The 17,706-nt window shown below is 41.4% G+C and overlaps 1 long non-coding RNA gene across 1 annotated transcript; it reads left to right on the top strand.

Annotated features, from left to right (window-relative positions):
* The first annotated feature begins 2,762 nt into the window (after window positions 1-2,762).
* LOC107984855 (uncharacterized) lies at window positions 2,763-4,721 on the top strand. Its single transcript, XR_001752131.1, has 3 exons — window positions 2,763-2,826; window positions 4,517-4,545; window positions 4,644-4,721. It is a non-coding gene; the product is annotated as an uncharacterized LOC107984855 (long non-coding RNA).
* The last annotated feature ends 12,985 nt before the right edge of the window (window positions 4,722-17,706 follow it).

The raw sequence follows: 17,706 nt of genomic DNA, 5'->3' as shown, positions 1-17,706 counted from the left end.
AAATATAATTTAAAATAAATTTAAAATTAATTGTTAAATTACATTAAATTATAAGCCTAATTTTAATTAAATTGTAAATATAATTTATTAAATTTTAATAGTAAATATAATGTAATTTAAACATTCTTTTTCTTAAAACTTTGGTGAACACTTAAACTTGCAGATCAAAATATAATATTCATTGTTGAGAAATGGACATTAGTATATTTGCAAAAAAAAATGTGAGGTGGGATGGTGTAAATTAAGAAAGCAGCTGGCTAGGTAATTCGGAGGTTTCTGATGAGGAAACTCGAGGGAATTCACTTTATGTAGACTCAGTATATTCCCACTCAAAGAGAAGACTAAATTATTGCTGCTTTGGAGCTTACTGGAAGCAGAGGATAGAAGAACGACAGGAAACCACAGGAACTCATTTCTTCTCTCTATAGGGGTTACACATCAATGATATGTGCTTCATTCATGTTTGTTAGTGAACTGGGATGCACTTGGATATCAAAACATTGGCAGTTTTCTTTAAAAACAGTGCTGTTTTTGATGAAATAGCCATTGTATAAAAGTACCTCAGAGGCTGCTATGCTATTGCATATCAAACTGACTAGAAAAAAACAAACGAGAAATTTATTTCTTGAGTACTAAAAGTGTAACTGTCCATAATCATGGCAAATATTTTGACATGTAAAAGTTGATTAAGCCAAGCACGGTGGCTCACGGCTGTAATCCCAGCACTTTGGGAGGCTGAGGTGGGAGGATCACAAGGTCAGGAGATGGAGACCATCCTGGCTAACATGGTGAAACACCATCTCTACTAAAAATACAAAAAATTAGCCAGGCATGGTGGCGTGTGCCTATAGTCCCAGCTACTAGGGAGCCTGAGGCAGGAGAATCACTTGAACCCCGGTGGCGGAGGTTGCTGTGAGCCGAGATTGTGCGCACTGCACTCCAGCCTAGGCAACAGAGCAAGACTCCATGTCAAAAAAAAAAAAAAAAAAAAGAAAGTTGATCATTTTGAAAAAAAAGTCAATGATGATTCAGAGATTTTTGGTTACATTTTGTAAATGAAAATCTGAGTACTCATTAGTTATTTGATGTGTAATGCATACTTTTTTTGCATAAGTGAATGAAAAGATGGCAAGAGAACTTAAGTTGAGAATCCAGAAGTTGAAAATATCAGAAGTCTTCATGACTGTGGATAACATGAGTATTTTTAGAAACAATTTTTCTCCAAGTAGATATCTAAACTAATGATTGAGAGCACTTCCTGCAAGAAGTGAATGATACATTTTCTTTTCTTTTCTTTCCTTTTCTTTTCTTTTGTTTTTTGAGACGGAGTCTCGCTCTGTCACCCAGGCTTGAGTGCAGTGGCGGGATCTCGGCTCACTGCAAACTCCACCTCCCGGGTTTACGGCATTATTTTCCCAAGGAAGACGGATTATGAGGCAGGAAGGTGGGAAAAGAGGAAGTCATTTACATAATTTTGGGGTTTCTGCTGAGGAAACCTGAGTGAACTCACTTTAGATGCATTTGGAATATTTGCATAAAAAATATTTGATTTTGGCAGCTCCAGGAACTACTGGAAGTGGGAAACAATGCTAGAATTGGGATAAAGCACACTGACTCATTACTCTTTTTTGTTACTATTAGGCATCAGAGATACATGTTTTGTTGATTTTAGTTAAAAAAATGAGATAAACTTGAATATGAATAGATTGGCTTCCTTGTTCAAGGAGCTACCTCTTGGATAAAATAGCTGTTTAATGAAACTTCTTTGGAGAATAACATGATACTCCGAAGAAGGCTATTTTAGAAACAAAAATTATGTTGAATTCTAATTAACTCCTAAAGTGATCATCTTCAATGAATATTGGAGTGATTTCTGAATGTAAAACTCATTAATATCTAATGCTTGTAGCAGTTTTACTTTGTAGAAGTATGCCAAAATTGATAATTGATATTTTTCTTGAGGCTGATATATTATCCTTTGGTGCCATGAGTGGATGAAGAAACTTTCAGAATGCCAAACTAGTGGATACAAGAAACTTAAGCAAATTATTACACCACATGGGTGTGAGAGATAATGAATATTATCTGCTAGGTATCAGCAAACAGATATCCAAGGTGATCAATTTAGGACACTTCCACTGAAGAGACGTGAACTGTATGTTCAACTGAAGTGTCATCGTAATTGTGTGCCTTCTCAGTTATTGGGCAAGTTAAAGAGCATGACGAATGTTTGTAGTATAATGGTGTAAATCCTTCTGATTTCTTGCAAGAAAGACATGCGGGATCATGTACCACCTGCTTTGACATTGATTCTCAGGTGTGTGAGTTACTCCTCTGATTTGTCCTCATCACTCGGCATATCCACATTGATACTGACACGGTTTTATTTTAGTTTTAGACGTATCACAAATCATACCATGTTTGAAATTGTAAGGGTATATTTTGTGAAGCCTGTATTCCTTTTTTCTCAGTGTATTTCTGTCGTGTTCCAGTCTCCAGACAAAAAGTAGAAAACATCAAAGCCTACACTAGTACAGGCAAGAAGATACCAGCTTGATGCTAACACTGCATGAATGTATGGATAAATTTATCATATGTACATATGAGTGATTATCCCTTTTGCTTTTCAGTGTCTTCTCAGAAACAACCAGCTGAGAAGGTAATTAAAGTCTCATTTATATGTTGAACTATTAACTGTATAGTCTATGAAACCTACTTCATGTATCGATTACTTTGCTTCAAACCCCATTCAGGCTACCAGTGACGAGAAAGATTCTGTTTCGAATATAGCCACAGAAATAAAGGATGGACAACAATCTGGGACAGGTAATTTTGCAAAACACATTTAATGTCATGTTCAGTCAAAATAGAAAAGAACTTCTCTTCCCCGAATAAATCAGCCGGGGCGGGGGTGTGGCTCCTCGAAGCTGCACGTTCTGATTCAGCAGGCCTGAGATTCTTCATCTGTAATAAGTTCTTGGGTGACGTTAATGCTGCTTGTCTGGAACATGATCTTTGCAGTAAGATTATAGACTTCCCCACGTTGAAATTGGGAAGAAGAAATATGGAGAGCAGTTCAAGACATAAGGGGCTCAGGGAAAAGCATAATTTTGCTTTAACTCTACAGCATGGTTTCACTAAGAGTGGAAGGAGAAAGAGAGGAAGTATAGATTTTACAGACGTCACATCGTACTGCTAAAAAAAGACAGAAAACTGATTGTAATAACCCATAGACACTGTAGAATGAGAACTAAGGAGACCCCTGATGTAGCAATTATTTTCCCAAGGAAGACGGATCGTGAGGCAGGAAGGAGGGAAAAGAAGTTATTTATATAATTTTGGGGTTTCTGCTGAGGAAACCTGAGTGAACTCACTTCAGATGCATTTGGAATATTTGCCTAAAAAATATTTGATTTTGGCAGCTCCAGGAGCTACTGGAAGCAGGAAACAATGCTAGAATTGGGATAAAACACAATGACTCATTACTCTTCTTTGTTACTAGGAGGCATCAGAGATACATGTTTTGTTGATTTTAGTAATAGAAATGAGACAAACTTGAATATGAATACATTGGCTTCCTTGTTCAAGGAGCTACCTCTTGGATAAAATAGCTATTTAATGAAACTTCGATAGAGAATAGTGTGATATTCCCAAACAAGACTATTTTAGAAACAAAAATTGTGTAGAATTCTAACGAACTCCTAAAGTGATCATTTTCAATGAACATTGGAGTGATTTCTGAATGAAAAACTTATTAATATCTAATGCTTGTAGCAGTTTTACTTTGTAGAAGTATGTCAAAATTGATAATTGATGATATTTTTCTTGAGGCTAATGTATTATCCTTTGGTGCCATGAGTGGATGAAGAAACTTTCAGGAGGCTAAACTAGTGGATAAAAGAAACTTAGGCACATTATTACACCAGATGGGTGTGAGAGATAATGAATGTTATCTACTAGATAATGAATGTATCAGCAAACAGATATCCAAGATGATCAATTTAGGACACTTCCACTGAAGTGATGTGAAGTGTACGTTCAACTGAAGTGTCATCGTAATTGTGTGCCTTCTCAGTTATTGGGCAAGTTAAAGAGCATGATGAATGTTTGTAGTATAATGGTGTAAATCCTTTTGATTTCTTGCGTGAAAGACATGTGGGATCATGTAGCACCTGCTTTGACATAGATTCTCAGGTGTATGAGTTGCTCCTCTGATTTTAAGTCATGTTTGTCCTCATCATCGACATATCCACATTGATATTGACACGGTTTTTAGTTTTCGACATATGACAAATCATATCATGTTTGAAATTGTAAGGGTATATTTCATGGAGCCAGTATTCCCTTTTATCAGTGTATTTCTGTCATGTTCCAGTCCCAAGACACAAAGTAGAAGACATCAGAGCCTACACTAGTACAGGCAGAAGGTTACAGCTTGATGCTAACACTGTGTGAATGTATGGATAACTTTATCATATTTATATATGAGTGATTATGTATCCCTGTTGTTTTTCAGTGTCTTCTCAGAAACCACCAGCCTTGAAGGTAATTAAACTCTCATTTACATTGTGAACTTTTAAATATATAGTCTTTGAAACATACTTCATTTATTTATTTATTATTTTCTTTCAAATTCCATTCAGGCTACAAGTGACGAGAAAGATTCTGTTTCGAATATAGCCACACAAATAAAGGATGGAGAAAAATCTGGGACAGGTAATTTGGCAAAACACGTTTAATGTCATGTTCAATCCACATAGAGAAGAACTTCTCTTCCCCGCATAAATCAGCGGGGGTAGGGGGTGGGGTGTGGGGTGGGGGCTCGCTGAAGCTGCACATTCTGATTGAGCAGGCCTGAGATTCTTCATTTGTAGTAAGTTCTTGGGTGACACTAATGCTGCTGGTCTGGAACATGATCTTCGCAGTAAGACTACATTGAAATTGGTCTTACTTCCCCACATTGAGATTGGGAAGAAGAAATATGGAGAGCAGTTCAAGACATAAGGGGCTCTGGGGCACAACATAATTTTGCTTTAATTCTACAGCACAGTTTCACTAAGGCTGGAAGGAGAAAGAGAGGAAATATAGATTTTACAGATGTCACGTCGTACTGCTAAAAAAAAGACAGAAAACTGATAGTAATAACCCGTAGACAGTGTAGAACGAGAACTAACAAGACCCCTGATGTAGCCATTATTATTAGGTATCTGGGCTTAATTCTCTGGGAAGCTATGAGGAACATGCCTCAGAATTACATCACTGAATCCAGGGAGATTCTTCTTAGTTACCCTCACCTTTTCTTCCCACTTCATGCCCAGTAACAAGCTCCCGTGCTGCTAGAGAAAGTCCTCAGCTAGAAACAGGTGCAAGTTCTGGAGATGAGACCTTGTAGAGTGTTAAGATTCCTTTTCTTCCCAGCAGCTACAAGTAAGGAATAGGGGCTGGGCTATTAATACATCTGCTACAAATCAATATACCCCTTATGCTCCTTTTGGTGATCGACAATGTATTTAAAAATATTAGATGATCAAGAAGGGCTGCAGAAAGGAGGAAACAGAAACAAACAGCACACCTCTTGGTTTATTTTTATTCATTTCATCAGTTTCAAGGAAAATGTGTTGGGAGTTCCTGGCATAGAGAATGTCACAAAGACATGTTTTCCATAGTGGTGCTATCCCTAGGGCAGAGAAGACCCAGAGAAAGCCCAAGTGGCTGCTGGAACAAAGTCAGACACCGTGCCACCTGTCCACACTCATTGGCTCTGCCATCATGCTGAAGATCGGTTGAAAGGACTGGCTTCCCTCCCCCCAAAATTAAAAGAGCACAAACTGAGAAACTGAATGTGGGAGACAGCAGTGGATTATGCTGTTCTCAGGGGTCACCTCAGGTTTGGAAGCATTCTTTCAAATTAACCCATCTCAGGCCATCTGCAGAGAAGAAAGGTGGCACCTAACTTTTTTTCTTGTCAGCATTTGGTAGGGGTGTTTTATTAACCAAATATATTCCCACAACCTAGTTTTTTGTAACTAAATATAGTAGATTTTTAAATTTTATCATCAAAATCTATAGACAATTTTTTATTAAAATAGACTCCACATCTATGTCCTGCTTTTCTTCTTCTTATTAATTACAGTGCTGTATAAAAGAACAAGACTTCAGAATCAAGAATATCTTGTCTCTTGGCATTGAATTTATACAAGGTGCTCTTTCTTTAATGCTGTCTCAAAGGACATATTTTTATTCATTAAAAAGGAAGATCGGAATCTAGTTGTATGCACTGCTCCAACATATTAATACATAAAATTAGGAGGTAAATGTGGTCAAAGCTATAGAAAGACTTGAGATGTCATTTATATTGATTACTGTATAGCACTCTACAAACAGAAATTGTTAAATAATAGTTTATATAAATATTTTGTAGCATTTCAAATATTTGAGTGCCTGAAGTTTCTCCTCTTACATAGTTCAGATTATCAATTTGGAGACTTACTCCGCTAGTTAAAATGTTTTTAGTCTCGTTTGAGTATTATATAAAAGCAATTTTCAGTTAAATGTGTTCCGCTTACATAAAACATTACAAATTAGTGAGTATTTAATTACATTTTCATGTTCCTGTAATGTCTTTAGAAGATTTTCATATTACCTATCAATATATGTATGCTTTGTCCAAGAAAAATCAAACATATATATAATTGAAATGGAAACTTTTTAAAAGTACTTATTAATTCCATTGAAAAACCACATCCATAGGAACAATTACAATATAATATTGTGAACATGTAAATATATATCCTATTTTATATATAAGCATATATGATTACAAATATAGTTAAGAATTTTTAAACCTAGTATTATAAAGTAAAAATTAGTTAAACTTCTGATGATTATTTATTAATGAAGATAAAATTATTTTGATTTGGGTGATTTTAAATAAACAAAAATATTAAATTACATGACAAAAATTCTTTATAAAATGTTTATGATTTTTACTTTGGTTTTATCACTTTATTCTACTAATTTATTTTAAGATGACCTGCCTTGTTTAAAACACTGTATTCATCTTAATTAAATTAAAATCCATTTGTAAAAAATTAACAAATGATTTGCTCTATTATACAGTGCGGTTATAAACTGAGTCAGTATCTCAAGATTTGATCCCCATTTTCATCATCTGTGGCCCTATTTGTTTTATAAATGTATTGTCTTTTTCCATGCCTGTCACATCTCTATTGCTCATTCATTTTTCTCTTTGTCCCTTATAGGGAGCATTGCCTATATCTAGATTAAGCAACAGTTGCATCTTAAAAAAGCACAATAACCTCCTCAGTCTTTCTCACACAGCGAAATGTTTGTTAAGTAATTAAAGTGTAGATGATGATACAAAGAGCTTGATTAAATTAGATGCCAAAGTACCCTTGTGATTCAGAATATGAATGGTATTTAATTTCTTTGAAATCAATAATTGCTGAGTGACATTAATTAATGCCAATATTTCAGAAGTTGTTCTAGTTAGTGAAATGTATACAACATGCAAAAGTTTCAGAACTCTGAAGGGCAACATTATTCTATGATTAAGAATTAAGAATTAATTCACATTAATTATTGGGGAGAAATAATTATTAAGAATGACAGAAATGTTTTTATTTTTTATTTAGAAAATTATTTTGTGCATGAGCATTACTGCAAGTTTTGCAAGAAACATAAATTTAAAGAAACAATTATGTGCACAAGGTGAATTTAATAACATCTGATATTTTCCATGATTACAGTTTTATTTGGTAAATCTTTAAATATACATCATCTAAAGATAATAAATGAATCTTGGAAATCTTGTAGGTAAGGGTAAATATTAGGATGCATCCAATTACATTTACACACACATACAATTACATTTACACACACATACATGCACACACACTCACTGATACACGTGTGTATATGTATACATGAATTTACTAAATGATTTTAACTAATATTTATAAGAGCCAGTAGGATTGATATATATTGTTGAACCTGAAAAACATTTATTATATACATGTTTAAAATACACACAGAAATAAATAGTAATTGCACTAGGCATTTGAAACTGTACTAAAATATAAGCTGTGAACATTTTGTGATCATTACAAATTCTTACACTGAATATTTTTATTTTTATAATATTAATATGTTTGATACATGTGTACATTTTTTACAATGTATTATTTTTGTCATACAGTCATGTCATGCATAATAACATTTCAAAGATGGATTACATATACAAAAGTGGTCCCATGAGATTATAATACATATTTTTACATACTTTTCTATGTTTAAGTATGTTTAGATACATAAACTCTTATCACTGTGTTCTTACTGCCTGCAGTATTCAGTACAGTAATGTAGTACAAAGGTTTGTAACCTAGGAGAGAGAGGCTATACCATATAACCTAGACGTGGTAGGCTGTACAATCTAGGTGTTTGTAATATTCTCTGTGATGTTTGCAAAATGAAGAAATTGCCTATGGATGCATCTCTTAGAACGTATCCCTATCATTCAGTGATGTGTGACTGTACTAAAATGCTCAATGTAAGTTTCAATGCCCTCCATAAAATTGTTGTACTGTGAAATACAAATCTCTCACCCATGGCCTGAATATGTTTGCAAACTAAGCAGATCATGGGAAGGAGAATGTGCTGGCATCGCTGGGATGATTTTCTCACACTACATGAATAATATCTCCAGACTTCGCGAATATGAGCCACTTGCATAGAGTTAAAGTAGGCATCTCTTTGCTGGGAAATTTATCAAATGGCAGTATGAAGTGTTTTTAAAAGATACTTGTTTGTTTGTAGCTGGTAGGCCTACAGTGGCTCATGGCAATGGATGAGGTTGCTAAGATTTGGTGGAAGGAGGTAAAATGAAATGGCCACTTATATGGTATATGGGTCACTTGTTTCTGTTGAGTTACAGATTCAGCTGACTCTTTCTCCCAATGTTAGTTATTCGGAGAAAAAAAACATGATGGTAATTTTGGGGTGACAAATACAATATTTGATGAAAGCAAATTTATTGAGGGTTAGACAAACTACAAGATACTTTAGGCTGCAAAGTCAACACGAGACTTCTGGCCCAAATTGTGCAGAGTTTGGGTCCAGCTGCAAAGTTCAAAGGAAGAGGCCATATAAGACGATTCTCACTTTTGACACCAACTGCCAGTTTAGGGGTTTCCCCAGAACACCCTCAGTTTCAAGAATTTACTAGAAAGACTCACAGAACTCATTGAATGCCATTGTACTCATGGTTTGTAATAGAGAAAGGGTAGAAATTAGGACCAATCAAAGGAAGAGACATATCACATAAGGTGGACTCTAGGAGGATTTTGAATGTTAAGTTTCCATTGTCTTCAGGACATATTACCTGTCATTGTTGTACAGCAATAAACATGGAGTACTACCAACCTGGGGAGCTCACCTGATGCTAAAAAGACACTATTTAGAAAATGAAAAGACAAAGGAAAGGATGAGAGAAGATGACCTTCCATATTAAGGTACTGGAAAAAATAGCAAACTAAACCTAAAGCAAGCAGAAGGAAGAAAATAAAAATTAGAGAAATTAATAATTTATAATATTAATAATATTTGTTAGTATCGGATAATTGATATTAATTCTCGACTAACTTTTTTTAAAAGGAGAAATATTCACTTCCCAATTTATTCTGTGGGGCCAGTGTTACCTTGATACAAAAGTTAGTCCAAATAGCATAGAAAAATAAAACTATTATAAGTATAAATGCAAAATTCCTTAAAAAATACTAACAAATCAGATCTAGCAACATATAAAAGAATTATACACTATGACAAAGTGAAATTTATACTAGTAATCCCAGGTTGGTTTAACAGCCCAAAATCCATTAAGGTAATACATCTTATCCATAGAATAAGAAACAAGAATTGCATGATCATCTCGATAGATTCAGAAAAGACATTTAACAGAATCCAAATGCTTTAATGATTAAAAATAAAAATAAAAACTCAATGAACCAGGAATAGAGAACTTTCTACACCTGATACATGGCACCTGTGAAAAGCCAACAGCAAACATTCAACTTAGTGGTGAAAGAAAGGATACTTTCCCGCTATGGTCAGAGATAAGAATAAGATATATACTTTGACCTCTTCTAGTCAACACTGTACTAAAGATTTTATGCAGGGCAAATCAGCAAGTAAAGAAGTAAGAGTCACCCATATTGGACAGGAGGAAATAAAACTTTATTTGCAAATAACATTCTTGTATATAGAAAATTTTAAGGAATCCACTGAATGATAGAACTAGTAAATTAATTCAGCAATATTACAGCATACAAGATAAATGTACAAAAATCAATTGCACACATCTACAATGAAAACCCCAAAATGAAATTAAGAAAACACTTCAATTTACAATAGCATCACAAAAAAAATAATAATTAATTTGGAAAATGTGATACAAGAGTTTACTCTGAAAATTAAAAATTATTGTTTAAGGGAGATCTAAATAATTAGCAAATATCTTACAGCCATGAATTGGAAGATTTAATATTGTAGTACTTTACAATTTGAACTACAGATTTGATGAAATCCCTGCAAGTATCCCAACAGACTTCTGTCTAGAAACTGACAAGCCGATTCTAAAATACACATGGAATTGTAAGAGACTCAAAATAGCCAAAATAGTCTGGAAAAAAGAAAGATATTAGGATAATTCACACCCCCGTGCTCCAAACCTTACTGCAAGGCATCAGTAATCAAGACAAGACAATACTGATGAAGGAAAAATATATAGATTGTTGGAAGAGAATTGAGAGTCCATATATAAAACTATGTATCTATAGTCAATGGATTCTTACAGTGGTGCCATGTGCAATTCAATGAGGAAGAGACAATCTTTGAACAAACTGGGTTGACAACGTACACGTGGATCACCACTTGCAAAATAATCAATTCGAACCCTTACCCCAGAACATACAAAAATATTAACTCAAATGAATTAAAGACATACATGCAAGAGCTAGAGTAAAGCATAGGGGAAAATCTTCAGGATTTTGGATCTAGCAAAGAAATAGCTGTAACTCCAAAAACATGAGCAACATAATAAAAATTAGATATTTAAAATTTCTTAAAAATTAAAGACATTGGTGTTTCAAAGGACAACCAAGCAAGTCAAAAGGCAGCTCAAAAACTGTGAGAAGATATTTGAAAAACACGTATCTATATGTCTGTATATATATGTATCTTGAATATAGAAAAATTGTTTTAACTCAGTAACAAATATCCCAACTCAAAACTGATAAATGATAGGAATAGATGTGTTTCCCAAGAAGATACACGAACGGTCAATAATCCCATAAAAAGATACTCAATAGCATCACTCATCAGGCAACTACAAATCAAAACCACAATTAGATACTCTATGGCTAAAACTGGCCACTTTGGAAAATAGTTTGTTGGCTTCTAAATATATTAAACATAGAATTGTCATATGACCCAGAAATTTATTCCTAGGTATACACCCAGATTATTGGAAAGAGGTGTTCAAACACAAATTGTACACAAGTATTTTTAGCAGCAGTATTTAAAATAGCCAAAGGTGAACACAACTCGAATGTCAATAAAATATTATTGGATAAACAAAATGTTATATCCATGAAATTGAATGTTATACAGTTATAAAAAGAAATAAAGTACCAATACGCATATGAACCTTGATAGCATTATGCCAACTGAAAGAAGCCAGGCACAAAAGGCCACCTATTGTATGATTCTATTTAGATGAAAATAGAATAGGAAAATCTATAGAGACAGAAAACAGCTTTGTGGTTGCTTAGGATTGAGTAGGGGATGGGTGCATAGGAGGTTAACAGCTAAAGAAGGTGGGGTTTCTTTTTAAAGTGATGAAAATGCTCTAAAATTCATTGTGATGATGGCTCCACTTATCTGTGCATATACTAAAAGCCATTGACTTGTAGACATTAGTGTGTGCACTCTACACTATGTAAATTATGTCTCAATAAATCCTTTCAAAAATACACAGAAGACTAAGGGGTTTGGGAATGCTGCAGCTGGGAGGCAGTTTGAAATACTGAATAGGTCTCATCGAGAATGTGAGGTTTCAGTAAAGACTTGAGGAAGCTGAATGAGCTGATCAATGGATATATGGAGGGTTATCTTTCCAAGCCAAGAAATTAACTAGAGTCTTGGTCATAAGACAGCAGCATGTTGGCATGTCCAGAGGACAGTGAAGTGGCCAGGACCACTGGTAAGATCAAGGGTGAAGATATAAAAGAATTTTGGCGGTTAACATGCGGCAAATCATGATGGGCTTGCAGACCATTGTAAGAATTGTGGCTTTTAGTGTAAATGAAATGGGGAGACAAATCATTATCCCATTATCGATATTTTAATAAATTGGATCCATGAACCAAATCCAATGAGATTAAATCAATTAGTAATAATATGTAAATTTGTATTAAAATTACAAGAATTACTTTCACATTTGAGAACAGAAGAGTCATGATTGTTCATCAGCAATAATCAACATTATTAATTTTAATTGTGATCAGCTAATTGAGATTAATTGCAATACATCATGCTTTATAATGTGACCGTCAAAAGGAAAATATGATTGTAATCTTATACTACATCTATCAATGTCTCTGATTCATAAGACTATAGAGTAAGCCCCTAGTTTTCAAAGCCAACTTATGAGGCAGTGACATCTTATGCAAGTTTGCTGCTTTCTGCCACAGTGGTCCTTGGTCAGCTGGCACAAATTGTTTTACAAATGCCACTAGGTCTAAAAAAAGTTTGGATCACAATGAACACAGAAAAACCTTCATCCCTTCAGAAATACCTATCAATTACTTCCAATACAGAATGAAAAATTGACAAAGGAAATATGTTGATTGTAAAAATGCCAGTTACCTTGCATCTACATGAAAGAAAAATGCCATTCTTATTACATTAGATCATTGTTTTACATGAGTTTTGGTATAGCACAATGTTGAACCAAGGGCAAAGAGAGATGAATTAATGAAGTTTTAAGATATCAACGTTGGGGCAGGGCAAATCAGACTAGGACACCTCCAAGTCCAGCTCTGGCCCTGCCTTGGCCCTGGCCCCTTCCTGGCCTGACCTTGTCCCTGGCCCTGCCCTGTCCATGCCCTGTGTATTTTACCAGTGTTTTATAACCAGAATCCTATAAGAAACTTAAATCAGTTCTTTTTGTGCGTTTTTAGTAGAGATGGGGTTTCACAATGTTGCCCAGGCTGGTTCCAAACTCCTGAGCTCAAGCCATCTGCCTGCCTTGGCCTCCCAAAGTGCTGGGATTACTGGAGTAATCTGGCCAAGTATTTAACTTCTTTATGCCTGTTTCCTACATTTGGAAAATGGGGATGGTTTAAGTACCTAGCACATAGAATTATTGTGAGAATCAATGCCTCACAAATTTACATATTGATAAAATTATACTCGTAGAACACTACTGGAAGCACAAATAGTATTAGTTAAAATTTAGTGATTATTTACTGCAAATATTATTACTATTACAAACAACATAGTACAGACATTATTACTACTACTATAGTTATCTTAAAAATCTAAAATAAACATTTTACATAATAGCCTAATGTAATCTCTCCTGCTCTGCCCTGGCTCAGCCCTAGTGCCAGCTCTGCCCCTAGTCCTACCACATCCCTGGCCCTGACGCTTCCCTGGTCCTGCCGCTGCCCCGGCCCTTCCCATCTTCAGGACTTACCATGGCCCTATCCTGGTCCTGACCCTGGTCCTACCCCAGAGAAGGGGTATGGCAGAGCCAGGGAAGGGCTGGGGCAAATAAGGGACAGGACACATCCAAATCCAGGAAAGGGCCAGGGCCATGACAGAGCCAGGGCGAGTCCTTGGCAGGGCCAAGTTCCAGGCCAGGGCCAGGAAAGGGTCATGGCAGGGTCACTGTACGGCCAAGGTCCAGGCCAATGCCAAGGCAGGGGCAGGGTCAGGCCTGCATAAGGGCAGGACCAGAGCCAGTGATATGGCAGGGCCAGGGCCAGGGCTGTGCCAGGACAGAACAAGAGCAGGGCAGGACCAGAGCCAGGCCATAGAGAGAGTAGGGCAAATGCCAAGCCAAGGCCAGGGTAGTGCCAGGGCTGAGGCAAAGTCAGGGAAGGTCCAGGGCTGAGTCAAGGCTGGAACCAAGACAGGGGCAAAGGCCAGGGCAGATCTAGGGCACAAGCAGGGCAGGCTAGGGCAGGGCAATGGCAAGACCAGGCCATGGCAAGGCCAGGCCAGGATAGAACAGGGCACAGGCAGGGCAGGGCCAGGGCCACGGCTGGGGCAGGACAAGGACGAGGACCGGGTCCAGGCCAGGGCAAGGGTATGGCCAGGGCAGAGGTAGGGCCAGAACCAGGGTCTGGGCAGGACCAAGGCAGGTCCATTGCAGGGCCAGGGTTCAGACCAGGGCCAGACCAGGGCTGGGATAGGGCCAGGGCCAGGACCAGGAAAGGGCAATGTCAGGACAAGGACCATGGCAGGACCAGCAACGGGGCTAGGGCCAGGACAGGGACAGGGACAGGGTCAGGGCTAGGACCAGAATAGCATGCCAGGGTAGAGCCAGGCCAAATTAGGGCCAGGACAGGGTCAGGACCAGGGCTGGGCCAGGGTATGGCCTTAAGTAGCGAAGGGCCAGGGCCAGGGGGTCCATGCCAGTGCCAGCGCTGGTCCAGGGCAGAGGCAGGGCCATGGCCAGGTCTAGGACAAGGCTGGGGAAGGGCCAAGGTCTGGGTCAGGGTCAGCACAAGACCAGGACAGAGCCAGGGGAGGGACAGGGCCATGGTAGGACCAGGTTAACTCAGGGACAAGACACCTGCAAATCCACTTCAGGGCCAGGGTCAGGGCAGGGCCAGTTCAGGGCCAGGGCCAAGACAGGGCCAGGGCCAGGGCCATCAGGGTCATTGGCAGGGCCAGGGCCATGGCAGGACCAGGGTCAGGAGCAGGGGTCAATGCCAGGCCAAGGCCACAGATAGGACCAGGTCTGTGCTAGGGCCAGTGTGTGGGCCAAGGCGGGCTCAGGGCAGGGCCAAAGGGAGGGCAGGGTGGAGCAGGTCCAGGGTAGCACAGGGTTAAGGTAGGGCATGACCAACCAGGGCAGGTCTATGGCTGGGTCCAGGGCAGGGCCAGAGCTGGGGCAGGGCCAGAGCCAGGGCAGGGCCGAGACAGTGGCAGCTCCCGGGCAGGGCCAGGGTTAGGACCACGGACATGTCCAAGGCCAGTGCCAGGGCAAGGGCAAGGGCAGAAGCAGGGTCAGGGTCATCTGAGAACCAGGGACAAAGCCAGGCCCAGAACAGGGCCAGGACAGGTACCTGGCAGGGCTAGGGTCTGGGACAGGGCCATGGCAGGGCCAGGACCACAGCCAAGTCTGTGCTATGGCCAGGTCCAACACAGTGCCCAGGGAAGGCTAGGGTGAAGGCCAAGGTAGGGCCAGGGCAGGGTCAAAGCCAGGCTAGGGCCAGGGCAGGGTCAAAGCCAGGCTAGGGCCAAGGCAGGGCCAGGGCCGTCAAGGAAGGGCCAGGAAAGCATAGGGCCAAGGCAGGGCAGGGCCAGGCCAGTGCCAAGACCTGGGCAGGGCCAGGGAACAGCCAGGTCAGGGTCAGGGCCAGGGCCTGGGCAGGACCAGGTTTGGGGCAGGAGCAAAACAAAGGCAAGGACAGTGCACGTTCTTGGCACAGCCAGGGTCCAGGACAGTGTCAGGGCAGGGCCAAGGCAGGGTCTGGGCCATGGTAAGACCAGCAACAGGGCTGGGGCTAGGCCAGTGACAGGACCAGAGTCAGGGCAAGCGCCAGAGCAGTGCAAGGCCAGGGAAGGGCCAGGCATTTCAGGGTCAGGGCCAGAGGAGAACCAGGGCAAGGTCTCAAGCAGGGAAGGGCCAGGGCCAGGACAGGTCCAGGGCAGGGCCATGACAGGGCCAGGGGCTGTGTTAGGGTAAGGGCAGGGCCAGAGCAAGGTAAGGGTCAGGGCCAAGGCCAGGGTAGGGACAGGGCAAGAAATATGGCAGGACCAGGGGCAATGCCAAGGCCAAGGCTGGGCCAGGGCTGAGCCAGGGCTGAGTCAGGGCAGGGCAGGGCAGGGCATGGTATGGCCAGTGCAGGACAGGACAAGAGCCAGTCCACAGAGACAGCAGGGCTGATGCCAAGAAAGAGCCAGGCTAGTGCCAAGGCTGAGGCAATGTCAGAGCATATCCAGGGCAGGGCCGGGGCCAGGGCCAGAACCGAGCCAGGGCACAGCCAAGGCAGGGTACGGCAGGGAAATAGCATGGCCAGGTCAGTACTGGGACAGGGCAGAGCAGGGAAAGGCGATGGTAGTGGCAGGGCAGGGACAGGCCAATGCAGAGCCATGTCATGCCGGGGCCAGGACACCTCCAAGTCCACTTCAGGGCCAGGGCTATGGCAGGACAAAGACCAGAGCCAGGATCAGGGCCAGGTCTGTGCTAGGGCCAGCTCCAGAGCAGGGCCTAATGAAGACTAGGGTGAGGGCCAAGGTAAGGCCAGGGCAGGGTCAAAGGCAGAGTAGGGCCAGGGCAGGGGGATGACACATCCAGAGCACAGCAGGGCAGGGTGATGGCAAGACCAGGGGCAGACCACTGCCAGCTCAGGGCCAGGGAAAGGCCAGTGCAGAGAGAGGAAAGGGTCTGGGTCTGGGTCAGGGCCAGGAACAAGGCAGAGCAGGGCCAGGGCCATGGCAGAGTCAGGGCAGGTCCTTGACAGGACCAGGTTCCAGGCCAGGGCCAGGGCAGCAACAGGGGCAGGGCCTGGATAAGGGTAGGGCCAGGGATATGGCAGGACCAGGGCTAGGGCCAGGGCCAGGCCATAGTGAGGGCAGGGCAAAAGCCAAGGCAGGGTCAGGGCAGGTCCAGGGAGCGGCCAGCACCAAGCGGGGCCAAGGCACAACCAGCGCAGGGTAAGGCAGGACAATGGCACCACTGGGCCATGACAGGGCAAGGTCAGTGCCAGGAGAGGGCAGAAAAGGCAGGCCCATGGTGGGGCCAGGGCAGGGATGGGCCAAAGCAGGGCCAGGATATGTCCAAGGCCAGGTCAGGGCCAGAACAAGAGCAGGACCATGACCATTGGCAGGGCCAGTGCCACGAGAGGACCAGGGTCAGGACAAGGGGCAGGGCCAGAGCCAGGGCCAGAGCCAAGGTCAGGCCAGTGCAGGTTCAGGGCACGGCCAGTGCCAGGGTAAGACCAGGGCAGGGACAGGGTAGCACAGGGCCAAGACAGAGTCAGGATGGGACCAGAGCAGGACAGGGCCGAGAGTCCAGGTAACAGTAGAGCAGGTACAGGGCAAGGCAGGGCAGTACAGGGCCAAATCCATGGCAGGGGCAGGGAAAAGCCAGGCCCATTGCCAATGCACCAGCCTTCCCTACAAGGCTCCTACCACCTGGCCACTGCTGCAGCCCGTCCATCGCTGTAAGCCTGACCCCCAACCCTGGCTGCAGCCGCCTGCCCTCCTAGTGTGGCCGCTCTCCTACTGCTTTGGCGCACTGCAGTCTCCGTCACTGCCACCCACCTGCAGGGAGGCGAGCCGTGGTGTTGCAGGCTCTAGGTGTCTCCTCCTCCTCCTGGCACGGAGCAGCTGGGCGGGCAAAGCCAGAAAAGCCTAGAGGAAGATGTGAGAGGTGGAAGGGTTAGAGCCTCA

Source organism: Homo sapiens, chromosome 16 (assembly GCF_000001405.40).
Source record: "Homo sapiens chromosome 16, GRCh38.p14 Primary Assembly".
NCBI classification, from domain to species: domain Eukaryota; kingdom Metazoa; phylum Chordata; class Mammalia; order Primates; family Hominidae; genus Homo; species Homo sapiens.
Note: the sequence above shows the minus strand (reverse complement) of the source record. Positions and strands in the feature narration are given on the sequence as shown.